Raw genomic sequence first — 27,224 nt, forward strand, 5'->3', positions numbered from 1 at the left:
CAAACTACATTCAGTGGTGATGGCCATGCAGGCTGTTCCAACATCGTACCATGCCACATTTCCACTAAATCATGGGCCATTGCCAACAGCCTCAACATCTGTTCAGGAAAATGGCAACTGAGAGACTGGAGTTTTAAAGAATCCCTGGTGTGGAGGAAAGGACTATGGCCACAGCTTTCCACCTGCAGGAAAAAGAGATACGATGCTCAATTGGATGCCGGGACTACCAAGGTCACCCTTGAGAGGAACTTATGTTATATTTTTGGATACCCAATGACACTTCACACTGACCAAGGAGCATCTTTCACTGCCCAAGCAACATGACAGTAGGCACACTCTCATGGAACACGATGAACTTTCCATGCACCCTGCATCCACAGGCCAATGAATCTAGTGAATGCTAGAACAATGGACTCACACAGCAACATCTAGAAAGGACATCTAGAAAGTCTGCTAATGGGGTGGTACCCCATCTTACTAGAGCAATATGGGCATTAAATATCGCACTCCAGAACAAGGGAAATAATGAATGTTAAGGAACATAATGCTGAGTGGAAGCGAAGGTAGACCAGGCAGTTCCTTTATTAGTCTGGACCTGTGAAAGCTATTTCAGTGTTCCTAACCATTCTTTTTCTTTTTTTCCTTTAGAATGCATGCCCTGGGGTGATTTTCAATTCAGGCCATCATCTTACCCCAGACAGGCCCCCTAACTCTAATATGGGGATTATGTTTCCTCTAAATGCCTCTTTTCTACAAGATCCCACAGGATGGATGACAAGACTAAGAAATATCAGGGAGCTAGGGGCCCTCTTCTGGTGCCAGGGCCATCTTATCCTTCCTTTAGTGTTGGCGATATTATGAAATATGTCAAGTTTTTACAGGGCATAATCTCCCTTCCTGCAGTGGACAATCAGGACTGAAATGTCTGGGTCAAGTGACAAAGGAAATGGATTGTTCACAGAGCAAGGACAGCCAGGCCGCATTCTTACACCAACACAGCCTAACCCTTGTAGATGGGTAGGAGACACCTGAGACCCTGGGATGGGTGAGAGATGATGCACTAACCTGTCACACTGCATTTTGGCAAGAATGAGTCAGCAAAGGCCTAGAAGCATAACATCTTTGTTAGCTTCTTGCAAGTCACCGAGTGTAATCTTTCAAAATACTGAATCTGCCATTCTTGACCTCATTCTGTCACTAACTAGAGGTTTCCTTTCACTCTACCGAAGGTAAATGGCGCCAACATTCCTGATACCATGATGTACATCAACAGGACCCGAGCACTGGCCTACCAACTGAGGATGTGACACCTACCACATGGGAGAAAACTGGAGGCCCCCCGTTTAACTAAATTGACTCTGTGGCAAATGTCATGATCACAACTAAAAAAAACATTGGTGGACTGATATTTTGATGCACCATATTTCTTTGATTGCATAGATAAGAAATGTCCCAATGGCAAAGACAAAAACAAGGAGAGGACTAATGCTACCCTCTGTCTATGAACAATATTGTCTGAGAAAAACTTTGCTCCTTCAACTCTGCCATCAGTGAGACTTGGCTAATGAACACACCAATACCTGCATAACCATGACTGGGTGATTAAACAATAAAATGGGAGAAAAGGGGCTGTATGCACCCAAGGGCTACATATTTCTCTGTGAATGGTCTGGGAGTGAACAAAATGCAGGATGTGTGATGCCATCTCTGGATAACTGTGGGATGGTGAGATTCTGCATGTTGGGCATGCTGGGGTTGTCTCTGGATATTACTCCTTGGAATTAGGTGAACCATTGAGCCTGCAGCCCAAAGCTGTACCTCAGACTTACTAGGGACCTGCCAGAAGGTATAACAGATTATGGGTTTATGTCTTTTGTGATATTTTTGGTACTATGTATAGGAGTCAGTGCTCATGTAAAAAAGAGAAATGATAAGAAACGTGTCCCTGACCATGGCAGATATTGCTCCTCCTCCATAGCCACTGCCTTGGTAGCCCAGCAGACATCCGTTAACTCCATCGGGATGGATGTTTTAGATAACAGTGTTGCTCTAGACTTTTTTAAAATCCCAACTGGGAGGATTGTATACAATTTCCAACACTTCCTGTTGTATCTGGACAAACACCTCAAGTATCCTAGAAATTCAAGTAGAGGAGATCTGGAAACAGGCTCGTAATTGAAGAAAATGGGCCCACCTGAAGGATTCTTCTTTCACCCCTTTAGCAACTTCTTCTGTGGATCATGGGATCCTGGGCTACATAACTGCCTCAGTTGGGCCTGATCATCCTGCCTCTGGTAGTAGTTTTCATTGGCCCAGTGAAATCTATTCTGGCTCTGGCTCAATGATGTTGCTTTGACATTGTGTTCGTCAAGGGGCTTCATCAGTCAAACAAGACACACCTCTGCCACCAGTTCAGGGTTATTAGTAGGCATATAAAATGGAATGGCTTTCTAATGGGGGTGTCTGGGTTGGGGGTGACTCCAGTACAGTCCTCTAATGGTTCTCGACTCAGTTAGTTCTCCCCACTCTCTTTCTTACACTTCTCAAGAACAACTGTAGGATGTGCTGGAAATGTAACATTCTGAAATAGGGAGAGACTGGTCAGAAGAGCCTGCCCCTGTTCCAGCTTCTCCTAGTACTGTCCTCCAGTACTTTAGTCCTCCAGTACTTTAGCTCCATGTGTCCTGTGACACCAGGATTAAAAACCCAGAGCATCTTCTTTCTGGGGTTGCTGAGTTATGGTCCAAGTGGGGTACACACGGTCAAGGTTCCATCAGACCCACATGCCTGTGCCTAAGGGGACAGACCCACAATACATCCTAGGCTTCTGCAGTCCCTTGCTGGCCACCTATAAATACTACACCAGATTCTTGTAACTTGTTGTGTATGATTGTTCTGTCTCCCTGGACTCTGATAAGTTGGTAACCAGGGCACAGTGAACCTGCTTCAGAGTAGTCACTGTCATAGAGACAGAACTTGAATGAAGGTTGCCAGGAACTGGAAGCAGGGGAAATGGGGAGAGGGTTATCATTTAATTGAAATAGAGTTTCAGTTTTAGAAGATGGAAAGAGTTCTGGAGATTGCTATTATTGATGATAGCACAACAATGTGACTTACTTAATGCCATTGCCCTGTACACTTAAAAATGGCTAAGATGGGCAATGTTATGTTCTCTATATTTACCATAGTTGAAAAACTTAGCATTTTTATTATGATATTGATGGATTATAAGACATCATTCTATTTTCTAGTTTTCTGAGCAAATGTTAATAAATAATCTCTTATAGATGTCATTGTTCACACCACATCTTACCAAACATTCTTTTTTTTCTACAGACGGGGGGATCTCCCTATGTTTTCCAGGCTGGTCTTGGACTCCTGGCTTTCAGCTGTCCTCCATCCTTGACTTCGCAAACATCTAGGATAATGGGCATAAGCCCCTGCACCTTGCCTTAACTAACAATTTATCAGCTTTAACAGGGAACTTCCTTGAAAATGTATATTCCATTGCAGGCGCCTCTAAGGCCAGACAATCTCCTAAGCCATATTTCTGTACCCAAGTGCACTGCTCCCTCTGTGATGTCACATGCCCTCAGAATGAAGTCCCATAAGGAGAACAAGGCAAGGAGGCCACCAAATGATCTGAGTGGAAATTGTTGTGAAGGCCTGGCATTAAAAGAGCATCAGTGTTGCAGTTTTTCTTGACTAGCAAAACACTCTCTGACTTATTTTCCTGGATGTTTTTTTTTTTCCTTAAACTTTTCCTAATATTGAATACTAGGGTTGAGATGAGAACCTTTCTATCCTAAGTCTAGTTAAACACTATTTCATTGAAGACATATTGCCTTATGGAGTACGATAATAATAAATGTTGAAAACACTTATTACTACTCCCAACACACCTTGTATATATCCTGTTACCATCTTAAATATTATGGCTTGATAAAATTATTTGAAAAGGAGCTTGGATGGCATTGATTCTATTCTCAATATCCTGAAACACATCAACCACCAAAATTGACAAGAAAATAGTCAGAAAAACATAGCTTAATAATCACTAGCTATTCTGGTTACTGTTGAGTGACAATTAGGTGAAATCTTAAAAAAAAAATCAAAACAGCAGTTGGAGGGTGTGGAGCTATAATAAGTTATTGGTGGACATGTAAAATGTTTCAGCCACTTTGGAAAAAGTTGAACAGAGTATTAAACACTTACTGTAAGACCCAGCAACTACACACCTAGGTATTAGCCCAAAAGAAATAAAGAGATATGTTCATACAAAGTCTTGTTCAAGAACATTCATAGCAGCTTTATCCGTAATAGCCCAAAGTGGAAACAACTTACATGGCAATCAACAGGTGAAAGGATCCATTATAAAATTACCAAACAGTTAAATAACACTCAAAAATAAAAAGGAGCACATAACTGGAACACATGACATCTCAATGAATCTGAGAAGCAGTTATGCTACACAAAATTCACCAGATGCAAAAGAGCACATGCTATATTTCATTTACATGAAACCCTTAAAAAGAAATTGGAATCTGCACTGACAATAAGCAGATCAAGAATTCCCTGATCTGTGTGGTGGAAAGCAAGTGGATTCCAAAAGAGTGGGTCAAACTTTTGGGAGTTATAGAAATGTTCTATGTCTGGATTTTGGAGGTGGTTCTACAGATGTATTTATTTGTGACAGTTCATTGACAGTGTATTTTATTGTAATTATTTTTTTTCAGTAAACTTAGTTAACAGGGAACAAAGTAAGTGCAAGACCAATTGGGTAATGTTGTCTTTGCATCTTCTATCTGTAGTGTACTGAAAATTGTATGAGCCAGAATATCTGAGAGAAAATCTCAGCTCTGAAACAAGAACTGTGTAGCTCTTGGCAAGATCTCTCTTTTCTAAGGAGTTTGGATTTTTCTTCTATAGAATGAGAATTTAAATACCCTTCATAGATTAAATCAAAATGGTAGGCTTTTAATACACATTCATTATTCATTTCAACTAAAAGTCTAAGCAAAACAAAAAGTCATACAAAAATAAAAATAATATTTAAATAAGATGAAATATTCTTTTAAAAGTTAGGAAAATGGAACTGTCACATCTTCTGTTTCTTATCAGTTTTTTAGAACTTGTAATTACATATCAAGTGTTCTTAGCATAAAAACTGTAATACACTTAACCATGTGTGCTCACAAACGTATAGATATAAAAATGATTATATTTTCCTTCTTTCCCTATTTTTCAGAATATTTGTGTTTATGCTCACAAGAGATACCAGCATTTAATTTCTCCGTTTGTTAGGTCCTTGTTTATTTTTGGACTGGAGTATATGGTGATCTCATATGATAAGTTTGGGAGTATTTATTCTTTTTGAATCTCTTGAAAATTTGTGTAATTTTGATAAGGTATCAAGACACCAGTCAGGCAGATATAAAATTGGAAATTTCGTTCTGGGTAATTTATAATACAAATTTATTGTTACTTCTGTCAAGCTAGTTGCCATAAAAATACTCAGAATATCCATCTTTTGTATTTTTATCATCATAGGCTCTGCAATGATTTTCCCCTTTCCATTTATAGTGCTGTGTTTTGGGGCTTTATTCTTTTTACTTCCCTTTTCATCAACTTGAACCAGGCTTTGATTCTTTCTGGGAGGGCATATGTGGCACATGAGAAATGCTGGCTCTTGTGGATATGAGATCACTCACTGTTTTTGTATGTAATACTGTGGAAAGTGCTGTGACATAAACCTCTTCTTCACGAAATTGATTACTGTTCAAACATTCTTCCCCAACCAATATGGAATTTGCTGTGTTTTTAATGGTATAATTCACATAGGCATACAAACCCTGAATTGAAATAGTGGATGTGCCCTCTACCACCTGGTATATTTAAAGAAGTTAAATAATATTAACACGTAATGAGTAGCTTTGAATTTTAAAAATCTATTTGGCAAGGAATTCACAGTTCCTTCCATCTAAAATAACCTAATGATTCTTCCAGAAGTGATCCTGGTTTGATGCTTCTCTCCCCGTGGTGACAGAGGTTTGGCACATCATCACACTTATAAAGCCCCCCATTTACCTGTCTACAACCACTGTGCAGGCATGAACATTATTTTCCCTTGCTCTAGTCCTTTTTCTACACCCTAGTTTCACATAATTTGAGGCTCAAAACATTTCTCAGGTAAGATTCTGGATTGAGCTAACAAGATTTCTCCAGAGGTGTCAGAGATTCCTGTACAATCATTGATGCGTCTCTAGAGGGAGTTGTAAGTATGAGGAAGAGAAGAGCTTGTAAATCTTCAAGCTGCTTTTACTCCCACTGTACTAACAACAACTACTACAATCACAACATCCACAACAGCACAGGACGAGCTTCTACAGCTTCCAATGCATCTATCTCAGTAAATCTCCTCTACCTCTATCTCATGCTGCTAGAATTTTTGAGAGTCATGCAAGTACTGCTGTACCCTTTAGTTCATAATTTGAAAAGAAGGAAGCCTCAGTGCAACATAGGCAGTCCTTAAACCAGTCACCCTTTAGTTTCTGGATCATCATTATACACATAAACACAGCATGTATCATAAATATATATATATATATATATATATATGCACACACACACACACACACACACACACACACACACACACACATATATCCACGAGGCAATACTTACCACAGTCTGTGTTTTCTGTGGTATTATATTTTCCTCTTTTTCTCTTATTCTGGTTTTTTCCTTAAAAAACCTCCAACTAACTTAAGCAAATTAACAAGCAAAAAAAAAACTATTTTAAAAAGTGGACAAAGTATATGACCAAACACTTTTCAAAAAAGCATATAAACGGCCAAAAAGCATATGAAAAAGTGCTCAAAATCACTAATTATTAAAAAAATGCAAATCAAAACCACAGTGAGATACCATCTTACACCAGTTAAAATGGCCATTATTAAAAACTTAAAAATGACAGATGCTAGTGAGTTTATGGAGAAAAGAGAATGCTTATACACTGCTGGTGGGAATATAAATCAGTTCAGCCATTATAAGAAGCAGTTTGGCAATTTTGCAAAGAACTTAAAACAGAAATATCATTTGACCCAGCAATCTCTTTATTGGATATATACTCTAAGGAATATAAATCATTTTACCATAAAGACACATGCATGTGTATGTTCATCACTGCACTATTCCTAATAGCAAAGACATGGAAGCAACCTAAATGCCCATCAGTTGTAGATTGGATAAAGAAAATGTGGTACATATGCAACATGGAATGCTTAATATACAGCTATGAAAAATGAGATCATGTCTTTTGCAACACTGTGGATGGTGCTGGAGGCCATTATCCTAAGCAAACTAACACAAAGATTCAAGTTTATGCTAATCAAGGCTCCTATAGTAGAAGAAAAAAAATTGTTTTAAAGTAATCAGATTTAGCATTGCTAGTCAGACTTTTATGCTGATGGACCGTGGGAAATAATTCACAATGACAGAAAAGGGGGTAGAATATGGGGGTCCCCAAACAGAGCATAAAATGAATCCCATTAAAACTCAAGCATTAAAGAGACTTATAGCTCTGGACAATGCAGGAACTGTGGATGTCATATGCTTTAAGGAATCACAAAATCATCCTCTTTGTCAATCTGCAGTAAACCTCTTCAGCTTAGACTGGTAATAACATTGGTTTAGGGCCATTACAAAATGCTTTTGAGAACATTTTACTTGCTCATGACTAAGTGTTCTTTTTTACTTAAAAAAAGATCAATTTCATGCTTACAAAAATGTAGTATGTATGTCACAAAGTATCGCTCCCAACTGGAACAATTTCACAGTGTGTTGAAGACCTGATAGCCCCACTCTCTAAGACTTTATTAAGCACTCTCTACAAACAAGGATATTCTCCTACTTATTCCCAATACAGCATTGAAATATATTATTCCATCTAGTTCTCACAACCACTTCGAGTTTTGCCAATAAATGCTCAAAAATGTACTTGGTAACAAAATATCCTTTAGGAAGAAACATTCTCTGCAGGCAAATCTAGGTGCCCTGGTCTGACCTGGGACACTGGGGACACTGCCCCTGTGCTGAGTTACTGAGATGAGCCAGCCACGCAGCTGTATCCAGCCTGCCCCACCCCCTGCCGTTTTGCTTGTTCCCAGAGCACCACCCCCTGCCCTAAAGACTTCTTAATAGGCTGGTCACACCTGTGCAGGAGTCAGTCCCAGTCAGGACACAGCATGGACATGAGGGTCCCCGCTCAGCTCCTGGGGCTCCTGCTGCTCTGGCTCCCAGGTAAGGAAGGAGAACACTAGGAATTTTCTTAGCCCACTGTGCTCTGGCACTTCTGGGAAGTTCTCTTATACCATGATTCATGGTGTGGATATTTGTTTTTATGTTTCCAATCTCAGGTGTCAGATTTGACATCCAGATGACCCAGTCTCCATCTTTCCTGTCTGCATCTGTAGGAGACAGAGTCAGTATCATTTGCTGGGCAAGTGAGGGCATTAGCAGTAATTTAGCCTGGTATCTGCAGAAACCAGGGAAATCCCCTAAGCTCTTCCTCTATGATGCAAAAGATTTGCACCCTGGGGTCTCATCGAGGTTCAGTGGCAGGGGATCTGGGACGGATTTCACTCTCACCATCATCAGCCTGAAGCCTGAAGATTTTGCAGCTTATTACTGTAAACAGGACTTCAGTTACCCTCCCACAGGGTTACAAGCCTGAACATAAGCCCCTTAGTGAAACAAATGTATGAAGTTGGGTTGCACAGAGGCTCCACCTGGTGCCTCCATCTGCTGAAAGCATTTCTCAGATGTATACAAGTTTTTAAGCTTTTGGCACAAGGGATCAGGGAGTCTCCCCTGTTTTCTAACTCTCTTTCTTCATCCTCAGTCCCAGGAGCACAGACATGACAACGTCTCCCTGATTTAGTAATGATAGCAATTATGATACCTGAGGAATCTGTGTTGTTGCATCAGTCAGGGTTCATACATCAAAATAGAAACCACTCTACAGATTTCAAGAAGGAATTGTTTTAAAACAGGGAATTAGAGTCAAACATCCATACCTGGGGGTGTGGTAAACAGAGAAGCTGATACTAGAAATACGGGACTCTCTGGTGGTCCACCAGAAGCCTGAACGCATCTGACCCTGAATGTATGGGCTGCTTAAACATGTGGTCCTCTGCCCTGTCTAGGAAGTAGAGATGTTAGGGTGCTGATTCTCTTAGCTGCCTGTAGCACGTCACTCGGTGATTCTCCAGTCCTCACCTCAGTCCATGTGTCTACCTGCAGGTGTCAATGAATATTGAATCATCCTCCTCTGACTCTTACGTATGACATGAGGGCCCATTATTGAGCAACTCTACAAGAAACCATAGTGGGAAAAGGGTTTTTGTGAAATGTGTTTCCAGAAATGATGGTGATAATGAGGAATGGAGAGCTGACAACCAATTAAGGTCAATATTTCCCCAAATCTCAGAATTTTCCAGATTTGGGATGACCCAAGAATATCCTTGCATGTGCTTCCACGTCTTATTAGCAAGTTTGGGATTATTGCAAGAAAACTTCCTGTGTCATAAAGTAAACAGAAAAAGGAGAAAATTGTTTAGAATACCTAGCAATTCTTTGACAAAAAAATGAAACACTTTCTTGATAAAACAACCAAGACACCTAATTGTTCACAAAGTATATTTTTTCCTTAATGTGAAAACACTTTGCTAATCAAAATTTGTCCAGCTGCCAACTCAACTGCCTCCTCAGCATCACAATGAGCATGTTATGAATGCAAACTAACAAATGCATCTTGTACCTATTGTGTTACAATCTGCATTTTAACAAGTGTAGGGGTAATCTACTGAAATTTTCAGGAGCTATGTTCTAGAGGATTTTACCTCAGCTCAAAATGTATATTTTTTACAGAGGCCATTTATATTAAAACCACATGTTAAAGGCACACTCAGCTTTAATTCTAATTAGTGCAAAATTTCTTTCAAAGGCATTTTTAAGATTGTAAAAGTTAAAAAAAATTATTTTTTATCAATAGATCAAATACCTTGATAATTAAATGCAGTAAATGTTTTTAGAAACTTTAGTATTTACCAAAGGGAAAGAACAAATTAAAACTGTGTGTACCTGGGTTAGAGATTATTGTCCTTATAATAATTATTAGACTTAAGCTGAAAAGGCAAATAATGTAAGTCCAATAATTGGATTTAAATTATTTTCCTATTCAGTTTGGTTTGGGGATTGTATTCACTCCTGCTGCTTGCCACAGGCATGTTGTACCTTGGTTAGACCCTGCCTGGGTCCCAGATCAAACCCTATTCAAGTGCTGGTGATAATCTCAGTGCCTTGCAGCAGAACCACCCTTCTAAGCCCTTCCTTGATCAACCAGATGATTGTTATCATGAACAGGAAAATAAATGCTTAGTGTTATTAGCCACCGAGTTTTGAGTGGTTATATACCATATGTACATTTTTTTAATGACACAAATTACCATCATTATACACAAATATTATTTAGTTTCAGTTTCTTCTTAATATTTTTCTAAATGGATTACCAACTATTCATATCTATACCATCAATTTTTATAAAATGAATCTATCTGTATGGTTAGAAATGTAAATATTATATTGGTCAGGTTTTGCCCAGGTGATCAGGTCAGAAAAGGCTGTTAGCTCAGCCTGAGTTTAGAATTTCTGTCCTTGGTCACAGAATTTAATGCCTGTGTTCTCCTGTCTCGCCAGTCATCTGGAGTCACTGAGATGGTGTTTGGAAAAGGACTGTTAGGAACAAAATAGAAAACTGTGGCCCCATCTCTCTCTTTCTACCCAAAATGTGCCTAGTTGTCTCTCTTGGTGCATGATTGTGAGAGTATAAGGAAGAGATACAGTTGTGGCAGGAAAAAGACATTGTTCTCAGGATCCCAATGGGCCTCACATGTCCAGGAATGTTTCCACTCCAACCTTCTTGCCTCCCTTAACATAGCTGATTCCAGTTCCATACCAAAAAGCTGTCCTCTCCCAACTTAGTGGACTAGGCCAAAATCCTATCCATAAAAAGAAGAGCTCAACCATTTATCTCCTTTGGTGATGTCTCTCAAGGTTTTATTTTATTTTTTTCTTGAGACAGAGTCTCACTCTGTCACCCACGATGGGATGCAATGGCACAATGTCCGCTCACTGCAGCCTCTGCCTCCCAGGTTCAAGTGATTCTCCTACCTCAACCTCCTGAGTAGCTAGGACTTCAGGCACACACCACCATGCCTGGCTATTTTTTGTATATTTAGTAAAGATGGTGTATCACCATGTTGGCCAGGCTGGTCTCAAACTCCTAACCTCAAGCAATCCATCCTCCTTGGCCTCCCAAATTGCTGGGGTTACAGGTGTGAGCTACTGCCCCTGGCCTCTCAAGGTTTCTAAAGTGGAACTCTAACGTTCCTGATAAGAACCTGGTCATCTTGCAAGATTGCTGCAAGATCTGGCATTGCTCCAAAGAACCAAATGAGATCTAGCTGGCTGAAGACGAGATGGTCTCCAGCACTGACCTTTCACTGATTTTTCCTCATTATAATCTCATTGTAATACTAAAATATCCACCAAAGGCAGAGCTTATTCTCCATTTCCTGATCATGTTATATATGTTAGAGCATGACGCTCCACTGCACAAATGCAAAGAAAACTTTGCCTAAACATGCTTGTATGTCATTCCTTTTCCCCCTCAGCTTCCTTAAAATGGTAAGAGCTGGGCACTTCAGGGCATTGCCACTGGGATCTCTTACCCATAGGCTGCTCCCTTGCTTTGCTCATGCCACAAACCTATTAAACCTTGCCTGAGAAAATTTCTGTTGTGGTCTGGTGTTAATTTCTATTTACAAAAGGGGCAAGGGGCCAGGTGCAATGGCTCACTCCTGTAGTCCCTGCACTTTGGGAGACTGAGGCGGTGGGTCACCTGATGTCAGGAGTTTGAAATCAGCCTGACCAACATGGTGAAAGCCTGTCTCTACTAAATATGCAAAATTAGCTGGACGTGGTGGTGAGCACCTGCAATCCCAGCTACTCAGGAGGCTGAGGTAGCAGAATCACTTGAACCCAGGAAGTGAAGGTTGCAGTGAGCTGAGACCTCACCACTGCACTCCAGCCTGGGCAACAGGAGCAAAACTCTATCTCAAAATAAATAAATAAATAAATAAATAAATAAATAAATAAATAAAAGAAAAAACAAAATTGGGATCAAGAACTTGGGGTCCCAGCAGCAGCAAAAATTGCATCAGGTGGGAATGAAGAGCTGATTAGAATTTTCTTCCAAAAATGCCTTTTGCTTGATGCTTAGTGATTTTTACCAAGGGTCCTGAAGCTGCCTCAAAAAGTAACACTCAATTAACTCCAGCACTGCAGGTGCAAAGGTGACCACAGCTGCATGGATAAGCAGGACCCAGGCTCTGACCCTCAGGGTACCGATACAATTGCCTTGAAGACAGATGATGATGCGATCCAGGAAGGCAGGGGACAATTCCTTGGCTGATTCTCTAATCTCCACACCACTCATTCTACACAGCACATCTATCAAACTAGACTCAATTTCTCTTCTCCTTAATGGTTGTGAAAAACTCTGTTCACACTCCAGAACTTCATTTCCTATAAATCTGCTTCTTTCCTTTAAGCAGTTAAACTCTTTTGCCCTCTGGACATTTCTCTTGGTCTGAAGGAAACAATTTTATTAATGCTACACCAAGTTCTACCGGCATCTTCATCCATTCTGGAATTAGAGCTTCATGTACAGCCAGGCAAGATCCATGCAACAGTCCAGACGTTGTCTTGGCAGGCCCTGAAGTCAAACCCTTGGGGTTGGGGACAGAGCTTACTGCTTACAGACTGTGTGACATTAGTAAAGTGACTTAACCTCCCTTTACCTCAGTTTCTATACCTGCGTTGCTGTGACAATAGTAGGTTCTACCTCACAGGTCTGTTTACTATTTAAACAATGTAAAACATTTAGAATATTATCCAACAGATAATATATGCTGCTATTAATTTCAGTATACTTATTGCTATAATACTTAGCACTGTAATAGTCATCATTATCATAACTGGCCTAACTTAGCAGAAACTTATTGGAAATAGTGTTAAATCCAAGTTCATTACATCCCCAGATTTTTCCACTATCCAATTGACAACACTTTAAATCCCAAGGATTCTGTCTTGATCTATGCTAAATTGCTCAGATCTTCAATCACGCCCATGCCTATCTGTCCAATCCATTTCTTCTCACCATCCATTATCACAACCTATTATCCTATGATATGTTCAATTGTCATAAGGCTGTCCTGCTTTCTTGTGTAAGTCTTATTCTATCTTTTAAATCTTTTCTCTATTTCTCTAATACTTGTGCCATAACTCACAACCTAATCTTAGTTTCTTTGACATGCTTCTATGATAATGATGTAGATTATTTGATGTTGTTTATGTTTTACTTGCTGGATTCCTATGGAAACAAATTCCTTTTAGCTCAGGCCCTTCTAAAACCTCAGAGATAGAAGGTGAAAAAAAGCTAAGTGAACATGTATGAAGAAGAGTGATTTGGGAAACTGAAATGTCACTTCACCTTTTTCTAAAGTCATCTATTTTCTCTAGCAAGAGTTTTCAAGTTGTATTTGATTTTTTGTTTTTTAGATAAGCCATGTGTGACTTTGTCCAACACTTTTCATCTAAAGCCTTTTTTTCTCCAAAAGCCCATGTCAGATTAACTATATCCAGTAAAGTCTGGTAGGCCTTTCTCTGATGTTCTCCCTGTATATACCCAAAAGTCCACACATGAGACTCCACCAGATTTAACAGCCTTGGCCTGGCAGAACCAGCAGGACAATGGAGGGGATCCAAGTGCCCCCCTGAGTAACCAGACGTGACAGCAGATAAAGCTGAGTGAAAGCACATCCTAATCCTTCCTGCCTTCCCTACATTTTTTGGTCAATTGAACCTATTCAGTATAACAACTTTATATTTAAGACTGGTTCATGCCAAACCAAAACTAACACCTTTTCTGGATTTTATTTTGATTAAATAGTTCCTGGTGTACATGTACCTGGGTTAGTTTAGGTGTATAAAGACTGTTTCTCTTTCTTTTCCCAGCTTCACACTTCCACTTTTTCTTTGCACCTGTCTCTCTCCAGGAAAGGGGGTGGAATGACCCCTTTTTATACCACTGTTGCAGAGAGTAGCCAGGTAAAAATGTTGACATTCTCAGCTTTCAGCTACTAAATAGATGTTGTTAAATCTACTTAAAAACAAAAGTCCTGTGTGAAATGTCTGATCAGTCAGACACAGCAAGATGAAGTAAAAGGAGAGATTTCTGAATTCTCAATCTGAGTTTTAAAAATGAAGAAACAAGTCTGGAAGCATTTAGAAAGTATACATTTGTATGCCATATTCAATAGAATTTTGAAAAATATAAGATAATATAAGGCAACTTTTTGCCTAATAGAAATGAGAATAGTAGGATTTGGGGCAGCAGCAGTGAAAGCAAGCAGTGAAAGCAGATGTCAGCTTTTGGTGCAAACCAAGCTCTGTTGCTCATGTTTGTTGGGGTTCCTATGACAGTGGGGTTTGGGTTTAGCTACAAACCCAGATAGAAACTAATAAGTATCTCTTAGAAAGAATCAAGTGTTGAATAGACTCCTGCCTGAACTTCAAGGCTATGCCCTGATGTCGCTGCAAGCTCATGGGGTAACTTGTGCATCACACAGGGCTTTAGGACTTTAGTGACTCAAGGGTTAGGGAAATTACTGTGAAATCATGTCACACCTTCCTAGTCAACCCAGAAGGACACAGATGAGTTTCCAAATGTTGATTTTCCCATATCATATATCTGGGGATGATATGAGAAAAAATGATGATTTGGGAGGCACCAGAATTTCATATCCAGACAAACAAACCTTCATAAGTGAAGAAGAAATAAAATTCTTTACAGACAAGCAAATGCTGAGCTATTTTGTTACCACCAGGCCTGCCTTACAAGAGCTCCTGATGGAAGTGCTAAATATGGAAAGGAAAAACCGGTACCAGCCACTGCAAAAGCATACCAAAAAGACCAATGACACTATGAAAAAACTGTATCAACTAATGTGCAAAATAATCAACTACCATCATGATGACAGGATCAAATCCACACATAACAATATTAACCATAAATGTAAATGGGCTAAGTGCCCCAATTAAAAGACACAGACTGGCAAACTGGATAAAGAGTCAAGACCTATTGGTGTGCTATATTCAGGAGACCCATCTCACATGCAAAGACATACATAGGCTCAAAATAAAGGGATGGAGGAATACTTACCAAGGAGACTGAAAGAAAAAAAAGCAAGGGTTGCAACCCTAGTCTCTGATAAAACAGACTTTAAACCAACAAAAATAAAAAAACAAAGAAGAATTTTACTTAATGGTAAAGGTATCAATGCAGCAAGAAGAACTAACTATCCCAAATATATATGCCCCCAACACAGGGGCACCCAGATTCAAAAAGCAAGTTCTTAGAGATGTACAAAGAGACTTAGACCTCCACACAATAATAGTGGAAGACTTTAACACCCCACTGTCAAAATTAGACAGATCAATGAGACAGAAAATTAACAATGATATTCAGGACTTGAACTCAGCTCTGGACTAAGTGGACCTAATACATATACACAGAACTCTTCACCCTAAATCAACAGAATATACATTCTTCTCAGCACCACATAGCCCTTATTCTAAAATTGACCACATAATTGGAAGTAAAACACTCCTCAGTAAATGCAAAAAAATAACAATCATAACAGTCTCTCAGACCACAGTGCAATCAAATCAGAACTCAGGATTAAGAAACTCACTCAAAACCGCACCACTACATGGAAACTGAACAACCCTCTCCTGAATGACTACTTGATAAATAATGAAATTAAGGCAGAAATAAATAAGTTCTTTGAAACCAATGAGAACAAAGACATAATGTATCAGAATCTCTGGGACACAGCTAAAGCAGTGTTAAGAGAGAAATTTATAGCACTAAATGCCCACATCAGAAAGTGGGAAAGTGATCAGTGATAGACTGGATAAAGAAAATGTGGCACATATATACCATGGAATACTATGCAGCCATAGAAAAGAATGAGTTCATGTTCTTTTCAGGGACATGGATGAAGCTGGAAACCATCATTCTCAGCAAACTAACACAGGAACAGAAAACCAAACACTGCATGTTCTCACTCATAAATGGGAGTTGAACAATGAGAATACATGGACACAGGGAGGGGAACATCACACACCGGGGCCTGTCAGGAGGAGGGAGGCAAAGAAAGGGAGAGTATTAGGACAAATACCTAATGCATGTGGGGCTTAAAACCTAGATGACAGGTTGATGGGTGCAGCAAGCCACCATAGCCCACGTATACCTATGTAACAAACCTGCATCTTCTGCACATGTACCCTAGAACTTAAAGTATAATAATAATAAATAAAAAAAGGAATGCCAACTTTGTGATATAAGAAAAATGCATATCAAGAACATAACAATGTGTATCAAATGAATATGAATAAATGCACAAGACATGATCACACCTATGTGGAAAGTGAAGGGTAAAAACTGAACAAATGATAGTCAGAGCTTGCAATGCTTGATACTAACTGATTTTTATATTCCAGTAATAAATATATAGAACCATATGCTTTATATATGCCACATTTAAAGGAATGCTCTAATAATATTTGGATCCAAGACAGAATCAAGTTTGATGTTATATAATGATAGAAATAATTAAAGTTTTATTTAACAAACAAAACAATTCCATATTATATTTATATTTGGAGACTCATAACAATTGCCCTCATTCTGCAAACGTTTCTAGAGGTGGCAGGCCAGTGGTGCTCACAGCAGTGTCTAGCATGCAGTATCTGTTCTATTGTTCATGAAAATATTCTCACATAGTCTAGCAGTGGGCGGCAGCAATTGGGTATTGACATTATTTCCCTGAGTCTTATTTAGCAGACTCCTTAATAATTCATTTTTCCACTATTAAATATAAATTTCGAGGATATTTAGAGATAATTGGCTTATGATCATTACAATTAAGTAACCTTGAAGACATGTTAGAAATCACAAAAATTAGGATATTTTGCAAATGTTATACTTCACCAACAGGAGCTGGGTTATCCTAAAACATCTCTTATAAAGTATGCCTCCCCAGATGTTCCCAGGGGTGACAGGACTAGTCACTGCCAGTAGATGCAGGATAGATTTCACACTCAGTACAAGTACCTGATATTTGACTAAACTAAAGATGCCAGAACACCCTAGCAGAACCCTCTCCCCAGTGAGTCACAGAACTGTATAATCTACCTCCACAGAGAACAGGCAGAACCTAGACTTGCTTCTAACCCATACGGTATGGCAGAGGTTGTGAGATGTCTTTCCAATCATTGTATTGTATTCTATAAGCCTCTGTCATAGCAGACTGGAAAGAGACACTCTCTGAAACCTTCTGCTGGCCTTGAACAAGCAAACAGCCATGTGGGCATTGCCTGTGTAAGCATCACATGGCAGGGAATTGTCCACAGCCTCTAGGACCTGAGAGCAGCCTTGAACCAAGAGCCAGTTAGAAATTGAAGCCTTAAGAAATAGAGGTGTTAAGGAATGAGCTCTGCAACTACCTGAAAGAGCTCTAAAGTATCTGTGTTCTCAGGGGAGTCTCAGGTGAGAATGAAGCCCAGTCTACACTGTGGCACAGTCTTGTGAAATCCAGTGGGCAGGACCCAACAAAGCCATGTGCCGACTGCTGACTCAGAAATTAAGAGATGATAAATGGGTGTGGTCTTAAGCTGATAAATTTGTGGTAATTTGTTACCTGGCCACAACAAACTTAACACACATTTTAAGAAAAAATAGTAGACCTAAGAGCAGCCATGTCACTGACATTGACTGCAGATGGGCACAGGCTTATTCTCATTGTGACCTTAGGGTTTCCAGGCACTGCGAGAGAGAGGAAAGTTTCGATGTGCAAGCCCTTTCCAAGACTCCACTTGTGTCAAATCTGCTATTATCCTATTAGCTAGAGCAAGACACATGGGCAACACCAGAGTCCATTTAGAATGATGCCAACCAAAGGATGAGTACAGGGAAGGGATTTATTGCAGCCAATTGTTCAAGTAGTTTATCCACAAATTTTTTGTGATTATTTGCTGAGAAACACCCTGAAAAAAGGGAAACCTCTTTAAAAGGTTTAAAATTTTTAGGTTGTAGCTTCATTCATTGTAGCGTTCTGCTGAACATCCAAGTATAAATAACTGAGAACTCCTTCAAACTATTATTTCTGTGATGGTTTATCTTCCCCATACCTTTATCGGTAGTTTTGGTCCTGCAATGTGCTGGCCAAGTTTACTCTGCAGAGCTGACCATTTACAAAATGTGGCTGACACATCATCGCACCTTGAATGTGGACCTTAACTAGTGGTGATCTATGAGAATCTGTTTCTGCAAAAGAATTTACTTGTCACCCCTTTGAGCTTTATCCTGTCTGAATCCACACACTTCTGTATTGTTCCATGGCTAATCCGTATCTTGTCTCTATTAACTCACTCTTGCCATAAGTGACTAAGATCACCTAACACAGAAATAATAAATATATCCAGTTCTGAACATTCAAATTATTTAAAAAAACATGGGGACATTATAGAAAGAAATTGTATAACTATTTTAAGTATAAAGAAAATGAAGTTTTTGTATTTTGGAACGAAACTGTGTGAAAGCTGTGTATGCAGGTTTCAGCACGAGGGTGGGCCCCTGCCTTTCCTGTGACTGAGCATATTGCCTTTCTCACACCTGCAGGCATCCAGGGAAGTGACTGGATGGGCTGAGCTGAGATGCACTGTTCAGCCACCCTGGGGAGACCTTGATTATATAAGATGCATTTCAGAGGATAACAATAACTGCTGACAGCAATAAATGACAGCAGTTCAGCTTAGTCATTACCAACGGTCTGTGTGGAATTTCTCCCAAACAACCCACAATGAATAGACTTGAACCCCCGAGTTGATCTGGGAACAAACCTAATAGAGGTTGGAGAACAGGACCCATCTCCCTGACCCATGTAAACTGATACCAAGTGTTGTCCAACCTGTACATCGAACCAGCTTCTAGATAAGTTAAAGAAGTCACATCAGACCCTCCAGTCACAACTGAACCAGAGGCTACAGCCAGCCCAATATGGAAGAACCGCAGAGCTGACCCTCAGAATTATAAGGAGCAATACAGTCAGCCCTCTGTCCATGGGATCTGCATCTATGGATTCAACTAAACCTGGATCAAAAATATTTAGAAAAAACATCCACAAAATTCCAAAAAGCAAAACTTGACTTTGCCATGTGCTGAGTACCACTTGAATGAATCCACACAAGTTAAGTCATGTATTAGTATTATAAGTAGGCTAGAGGTGGTGTGAAGTGTACAGGAGGATATGTGTATGTTATATACAAATATTGCTTATTTTACATAAAGGTTTTGAGTCTCCAAAAATTGGAATGTCTGCAGGGTGTCCTGGAACCTATTTCCCATGCATACTGAGGGAAGACTGTACATGCTCATTTTATGGCATTGTGTTTGGAGCTGGTTTGTTTTGCAAGAAGAGCTAACTAATACAATCTGTTTTTGTGAACAGGAGGCAATAGAGTTAAGTGATAGGGTAGTCACATTTATTGCATTTTTTTTGTGATTGCAAAGCCTATTTGCTTGTTTTTTAAGGCAGATAAGAATCCTCATACCTGATTATCATGGACTTTGGATGTCTTTCTTAACTCTCTGGCAAATGCAAAATGCAGCTGAGAAAACAATTCCTTTCTTCAATTTCCTCTCATTCTTTCTGACTATGAAGAGCAGCACACTGCTATTCATACTTCTCATTACTCAGAATAATCCATGTTGTACATTCAGTGGGTTGTTTTCAATGTGTATAGGTTATGAGTGTTGATTATGTCTTTGAGAGTTTCTTACTCATTAAATTTTCATTCATTCATTCATTCAGTAAAGTATAAATTGAGCAATTATGCTGGACCAGGAATGTGTGTAGGCTGCATCCCTGAGAAAGTCAGTGTCTGACTCTCATTTACCTATATCTTTTCTGGTGAAAAAAAAAAGGCCATGTTTAATTAAACATAAATCAACAGGAAGATTCTAGAAAAGGATAAGGATCATAAAGGAAAAAAAAATGGCAAGGGAAGAGGAAGTGGTTAATAAGGAAATGGAGTCAGTTAGTTGGGGAGGCAGAGGCTGCTTCCTCTGAGGAGGTGACTGGCCTGGATGAGGAGAAGAACTGACCTGAAGAGAAGTTTCTGAAGGGCATCGAGGTTCATGACAATCAAGGCTCTTAGGAGGAACACAGTATGAACACGGGAAGGACATAGAAAGTCACTATGAGGAGAGTGACTTAACCAAGTGAAAAAAGAGAAAGTCTGAGAGGGGGCAGGTCAGAGCTGTTTTCTCCCAGTATCTTAAAGATCACCACATATGACGGATGTGAAATGAAGGACGCCTTCATTTTCTGTTTGAGGAGCAAATGCTTTCTAAGTACAGCAGGACATTCTGTGAATTTTTTAAAGCAAAGTACTCCCATGGTCATATTTATTTTTTAGCAGAGTAATGACTCCAGTTGGGCTGTGAGAAGGAGAAGAGATACTCATCTGGGCAAAGTGAACCCTGGCATAAACTAGTCTGGGGGCAGTGAAGATTATTGGAGACATAAGCAGATGATATCATATTTTTAAATTAATGTCATTTATACTCCTTTATGTGAGAAGAGTCAGATTAGGAGTGGCCTGGCAGCTTTGGACTTAATCTATTAGATAGATTCTGATTTACTGATGTTAAATGTATTAGCAGCCAAGAAAATCAGGATAAAATAAAAGGAGTTTGTTATTTTTGTTCAATTCTAGATTGAGATGCTAATAAACATGCAGATTAAGTGGCCAGGTTTGCAAGTGAGTGGAGTTTGAGCTCAGAGGAAAGAAAATACACATAGGTATTCAGCAGCGCTTACAGGGTAATTTATGTATTAAAGCCACATGTATGCATATGCACCTGCACATATTTATGCGTGTGTATGCACATATATTAACATATGCATAGAAGTGTTTTTCAAAAAATAAAAGGCATAAAATCAATAATCACAGCTCCCACCTTATGAAACTACATAAAGAGGAGCAATTTAAATCTGAAGTAGAACGTGAGCAAAATATATAATAAATATTAGGGCAGAAACCAATAAAACTGCAAACAGAAAAAGCAACACTAAACACCAAGCAAATCAAAGGCTGATTCTTTGGAAAGAACAGTGTTGTATAAGTTCCATATATTTGAAGAATTCGGGGTTATACTTTCAATATTGATTTCTAGTTTGATCCTTCCGTGGTCAGAGAACACACTTACTGTGATTTTAATTATTGCAATTGTGTTGAAACGTTATGTGGGCAGAATATGTCCTATCTTGGTATATGTTCTGTGGGCACTTGGAAGAAAGAAATGTGAACTTCTATTGTTATGGGTTGGAGTGTTCTATAAATGCCAGTTAGATCCCATGGGTTGATGATATTGTTGAGTTCTTCTCTATCCTGGCCGATTTTCTGTCGAGTTGTCCTATCAAAGATTAAGAAGGGGTTTTGAAATCTCCAAGTGTAATTGTTCTGTTAGTTTCTGCCACATGCACTGTATTGCTCTGTTGCTTGGTGTCTACGCACTTAGAACTGCTCTGTCTTCTTTCCAAAATGACTTTCTTCATTATGTAATGTAACTTTCTATCCCTGGTAAAATTCTTTGGCTCTATAGTCTACTTTGTCTGTTAATAGTATTTGCTAATGATTCTTTCTTTTGATTAATGTTTGCATAGTATACCATTTTCCTTCCTATATATTCAATCTACTTATACTGCTGTATTTGATGTGAGTGTCTTATAGACAATATACAGTTGGAACATTTCTTTTTGATTCACCAACTGTTGTCTTTTTAAAAATTTCATAATTTACGTATTTAATATATCAGTAATTATTGATATATTAAGATTTAAGTCTGCACTCTACTTTTTTGCTGTATCTTTTTTTGCTTCTCTGTTTTCTTTTTGCTGCCTTCCTTTGGGTTACTTGAACATTTTTACAATTTCATTTTAATTTTACCTAATTTTGGGGTATCTCTTTTTATAGTGATTTTTAAATTGGTTGTCATGGTATATTGCCTTTATATGCACAGCTTCTCATAGTACATTGGTGTCAATATATTACCATTTAAAATAAATATAGACTTTTACCTTCTTTTATATCATTTTTCCTCCCCCATTGTAAATAGGTGGTTTTTTAAAAGTAATTTCTCTGCAAATATTGGGAACAAAACTGTGTTACAACTTTGATACAAATATCACATATGATTTAGAAATGCATTATATTCATCTCTCTTCTCATTTTCATAGCCTTTTGTCCCTAAATTATTTAATATCCCCTCTTGATCTTTAGTTTTACCTTCCTAGGAATCATTTTGGCTATGCTTAAAGTGGATCTGCTAGCAGCCAATACTCTTAGTTTTTCTACAGCTGAGGACTTCTCAATTTGACCTTCATTTCTAAATAATACTTTTACTGGAAATAGAATTTTAGGGTAGCAGATCTTTAAATACTAGAAGATGTGTCATAATTGACACCAGAAGACAAGGTAAAAATATTTCCAAGAACAGAGGACAAGCATGCACTTGGTGAGGTGAAAGACATCTCTTCCTCATGCATTAGTTTCCAACGCTGCTGTTTAAATCGCCACGGTCTTATTGGCTTCACACAACATAAGTGTATTACCCTGTAGTTCTGGGGGTCAGAAGTCTCACTGAGCTAATGTTAAGGTGTCAGTAGGGCTGTAATTCTTCTAGAGGCTCCAGAGGAGAGAACTGGATCCTCTGCTTCTTATCTTCCAGGTGCTCCCACATTTCTGGTTCCATGGCCCCTTCCTTCTTCAAACCACATCCTTCCCCATTGTCCCAGCTCCTCTCTGACTGCAAGCCTCCTCCTCTATTTTAAGGACCTTGGGGGTTTTATTTATTTAATCTGGATAACCAGGTTGCTTATTCTCAAAGTCCTTAACTTCCATCTGTCAAGTTCTTTTTTCACTATGTAAGGAAGAATCCTTATGATAAGGCTCCGATGACTGGAGGAACACCAGGGTTCTTGGTCTCACGCCAGTTTGGATAAAATGACACAAACATGAGTGGAGTGGTTTTAAGGAGAGAAAAGTTTAATACACAAGTACGAAGGAAGATGAAAATAGCTTCCCCATACAGAGACAGAGGGACAGGGGATTCGAACAAAGGGAAAACCCCATGTGCTGCGGAAAAGTGGCTCCTTATATAAGGAGGCTGGAGAAGGTGGTGTCTGATTTGCATAGGGCTCAGGGGATTGGTATGACCAGGCATGTCATTCAGGTAGCCTGCAGAAAAAACTGGCCCTCCCACCCTAGCCTTTTAATATGCAATTGCAGGGCACCATAATGTTCTACACACATGGGGATATATAGGGACAGCCATGTTGCCAGGCCTATGTGGGGACAAGGAAGAAGATGGTGGGAATCACCATGTTTGGGTGAACCCAGTTTCTAATGGCGGGCATTTACATATGAAAGCTTGCCAGCCTGGATCTAAGAGCCAGTGTTTTCCTGCTAGACAAGAAATCTTTCTAGAGCTGCTTTAAACATAACAAAACCTTCACAAGCACCCCTTTTCCTCTCTATCTGCCTACAATAATTTCTTAATAACTCCTATAACACTTGGGTTCCAGAGATGAGGACATGGACATCTCTTGGGGTGGGGACATTATTCATCCCACCAACAATAAACATATTCCCCAAAATTGTCCTTCTCTAAAGTAAAATTTAAAAAATCACAAAGTATTTTTATGAATCAAGAGAGGTGGACAAAATCTTAGACTCAGGTTCCTGTAACTTGTGAGTTTTATCTGTTGGAGTGTGCTCACTCCACTGTTGCTAATGTAGATTTATTGATGTGTAGATAATTTTAGAGGATTTTTAAATTTTGTGACCCAGTGTAAACAAAACAGTATCTGAGAAAGGTCTCAATCAAGTTATAGATTTATTTTGCCAAAGATAAGGCTTATGGCCTGTGACACAACATTAGGAGGCTCCGCAAACACGTGCCCAAGGTGGTTGGATTACACATTGGTTTTATACGCCTTAGGGAGACACAGAAATTCAGGCAAAGACATAAATCAATACATATCAGATATACATAAGTTTGTCTTGGAAAGGTGGGATATCTTGAAGCAGGGGCTTCCAGGTCATAGGTGGATTCAAAGCTTTCCTGATGGGCCACTAGTTGAAAGAGTTAAAGTCTGCCTAAGGAGTTGAATTCATCATAAAGAAATGCTTGAGTTTAGATAATGGGGTGTGGAAGCCAAGATTCTTGTCACATAGATGAATCCTGTGGGTAGCAGATAAAGTAGATGGTGAATGTTGCTTATCAGACCTTTAAAAAAAGTCAGACTCTTTGGAAAAGACATAGTAATGGGAGGAGTTTCTCTGCAGAATGCAAATTTCCCCCCACAACAGGCAGCTTTGCAGGGCCACTGCAGAATATGTCAAAGAAATAATTTTAGGATAAAATATTTAGATTTTCTTTAGGGGCTATTATCTGTCATGTTGGAGTATGGTATCTTATTGCTATAAAGCATCTGTTTTGTCAGTCCAAAGATCTCTGTAGTAGTGATAATGCTGGTCAGTTGTGTCTGAACTCCAAAGGGAGAAGAGCATAATGAGGCACATCTAAACCTACCTGCCAGTCATGGCCTAACCTAGTTTTTCAGATTTCTTTGAAGTTCTCTCTGCCAAAAGAGGAGTCCATTCACCTGGTTGGTGGCCTACAACTTAATTTTTGGTTTTAACACACAGAAAAAAAAAATCATGGCATAAATCCAATCTAAAATAAATTGGTAAAGAAAAATTAAGTGCTTCCTGAATATTCCAAATGTCAAAGAAAATGAAATGATAAGAATTCAGATGAGAAATACCCCTCATACAAAAGAATAATGATTTTTTTTTTTAAACTGTCTTAGTTTGGGTCCACCAGCAATGAGGATTCCTGTTTAGGCAGCAAATTTACACTGGGAGGAAAGGAGGAAAGTGAGGGAGGGAACAGAAGATGAATGGTAAAAGACACATCAACAACCCACCTGACTCAGGATAACTGAAGGTCAACCACATGTGAAAACATAGATTAAATTCCTCTGGGCTATTCCACCTGAGAGATGAGGAAGCTGGGGTATGTATACACCTCATCGTGTCCTCACTGATTGTGAGCTGTCTCTCTTGTTCTCTTTCAAGCTGCTATAACAGATTCCTTGTCACTGTGTAATTCATAAATAACAGAAATGTATTTCCTCACACTTCTGGAGAATAGGAAATTTAAGATCAAGGCATAGGCAGGATAAGGTCTGCTTTCTCTGCTTTCAAGATGATGCCTGGAGGGTTGAGTCCTTCAAAGCCAGGAAGGCCATCTCTTATCATGACAGACAAGCAGAAGAGAGAGAGAGAGAGATCCCAGTCCCATAATCCCTGTTTATATTGGCATTAATGTATTCCACTAGAGGGCACCACACCCATGACCTAAACACACCCCAATAGGCCCCACCTGGCAATACCGTTACACTGAGAATTAACTTCACAACAGATTGATTCTAGAGGACACAGTCAAACCATAACAGTTTCATAAGAGATACACATTCCAGGCCATTTGGCCAGCAATGCATGAAGGCAGAGCTCTTTGCCCAAGACTGTAAAGGACATAAGACATATATATGGTCATTGGAAGTGAGCAGAGGTACAGCAAAGGGGAAAGCCCTACACTACAGATGGGGACTGCTACATTCATCATGGTACAGTTAACCCTTGAATAAATTAGGTTTGAAATTTGCAGACCCACCTATATTTTCTTCTATGTGTGTCACCTGTGAGCAAGCTCTTAGTAAGTTGTAAACATATTTTCTAATTTTTATGGTTTTCTCAATAACATTTTTTCTTTAGCATACTTTATTGGAAGAATAGAGTATATAATATAAATAACTTTTAAAAACTGTTAATCAACTGTTTATTTTATCACTGGGTCTTCCAGTCAAAAGTAAGCTATTAGTTCTTAGTTAGGAAAGCAAAAGTTCTACACAGGTTTTCAACTGCACCAGTGGTCAGTGCCCCAACCTCCACGTTGTTCAGGGGTCAACTGCTCTTTCAATCTGTAGCTGCATCTCTCTGGAACAGGATTTTGGCATGTGGGTTGCAAGTAAAAGAATCCAGAAAATAATATCCCAAAGTATGCTGCATTGGTATGATGATTATATAAAACCAAAGGCATTGAGAAAGCAGCAAATGCACAAAAAGGCTTCTCCTAAATATCCCTTATCTGACTAAAAGCAGATTCACCAGAAGGAAACCAATTGTCAAGAAGATTCTTCCTGAGAATTTGTATATCAAGGAAGATTAACACAAAACAGGAATTAAAAATAGAAGAGACTGGAAGTTGATACTTTATCCAGGCAGGCTGTTACCTGTTCTTTTGAGGATGCACTTCTATTCTCATCTATTTTCTCTAGGTTGCCTACACTTCCCAATTCTATAGAAAGGAAATATAAACACCTGAATCTCATTGAGTTATCTGGGTAATCACCCTGCTGTGATATTCCACTGCACTTTAAGTGAATTTTGTTTGCCTTTTCTCTTATTAATCTTTCTTTTGTCAGTTTATTTTCAGCAAACATTTAGAGGATAAATGGAACTTTCTTCCTTTCTCCCAATATAAGCAAGTTCCCTTAAAATTCAGATCGCTTGCAAAGCAGCAGGAAGGTTTGTGCATGGGCTACAGCACTGTGATTTTGCTCCCCTAGTCAGGCATCAGTAAAATTTTGTGGAGCCCTAGACTGTAGCCCACTGATGCTGATGTAGTTGGATCCAATTCCCCTGCTACTGAGCCAGGCTGGGACATTTTTGGCACATTAGAGATGTGAGATATAACGAGTGAAAATCGTGTCCAGTTTCATCTGGATCCAACTGATTTCTCCATGTACATGGGAAATTGCTTGATAAGAGATTGACTGTCTCTTTCCTAAAAATGGTAACAAGCAGGCTGGTGTCTGGGTCATGATGATGTCCCCAGTCACTGA

The 27,224-nt window shown here is 39.2% G+C and overlaps 1 gene segment (V, D, J or C) and 1 further gene, besides 1 other annotated feature; both read left to right on the forward strand.

The window, feature by feature from the left end:
- Window positions 1-27,224, forward strand: part of IGK (immunoglobulin kappa locus) — a 1,378,008-nt gene that overhangs the window by 1,324,606 nt on the left and 26,178 nt on the right.
- Window positions 8,247-8,301: a sequence feature (IGKV1D-42 leader sequence).
- Window positions 8,247-8,713, forward strand: IGKV1D-42 (immunoglobulin kappa variable 1D-42 (non-functional)). The segment is given in 2 exon segments: window positions 8,247-8,301; window positions 8,418-8,713. Coding segments are annotated over 2 exon segments (351 nt in total), but the record flags the coding sequence as incomplete, so codon positions are not given.

The sequence above is a fragment of the Homo sapiens genome, chromosome 2, assembly GCF_000001405.40.
Source record: "Homo sapiens chromosome 2, GRCh38.p14 Primary Assembly".
Classification (NCBI taxonomy): domain Eukaryota; kingdom Metazoa; phylum Chordata; class Mammalia; order Primates; family Hominidae; genus Homo; species Homo sapiens.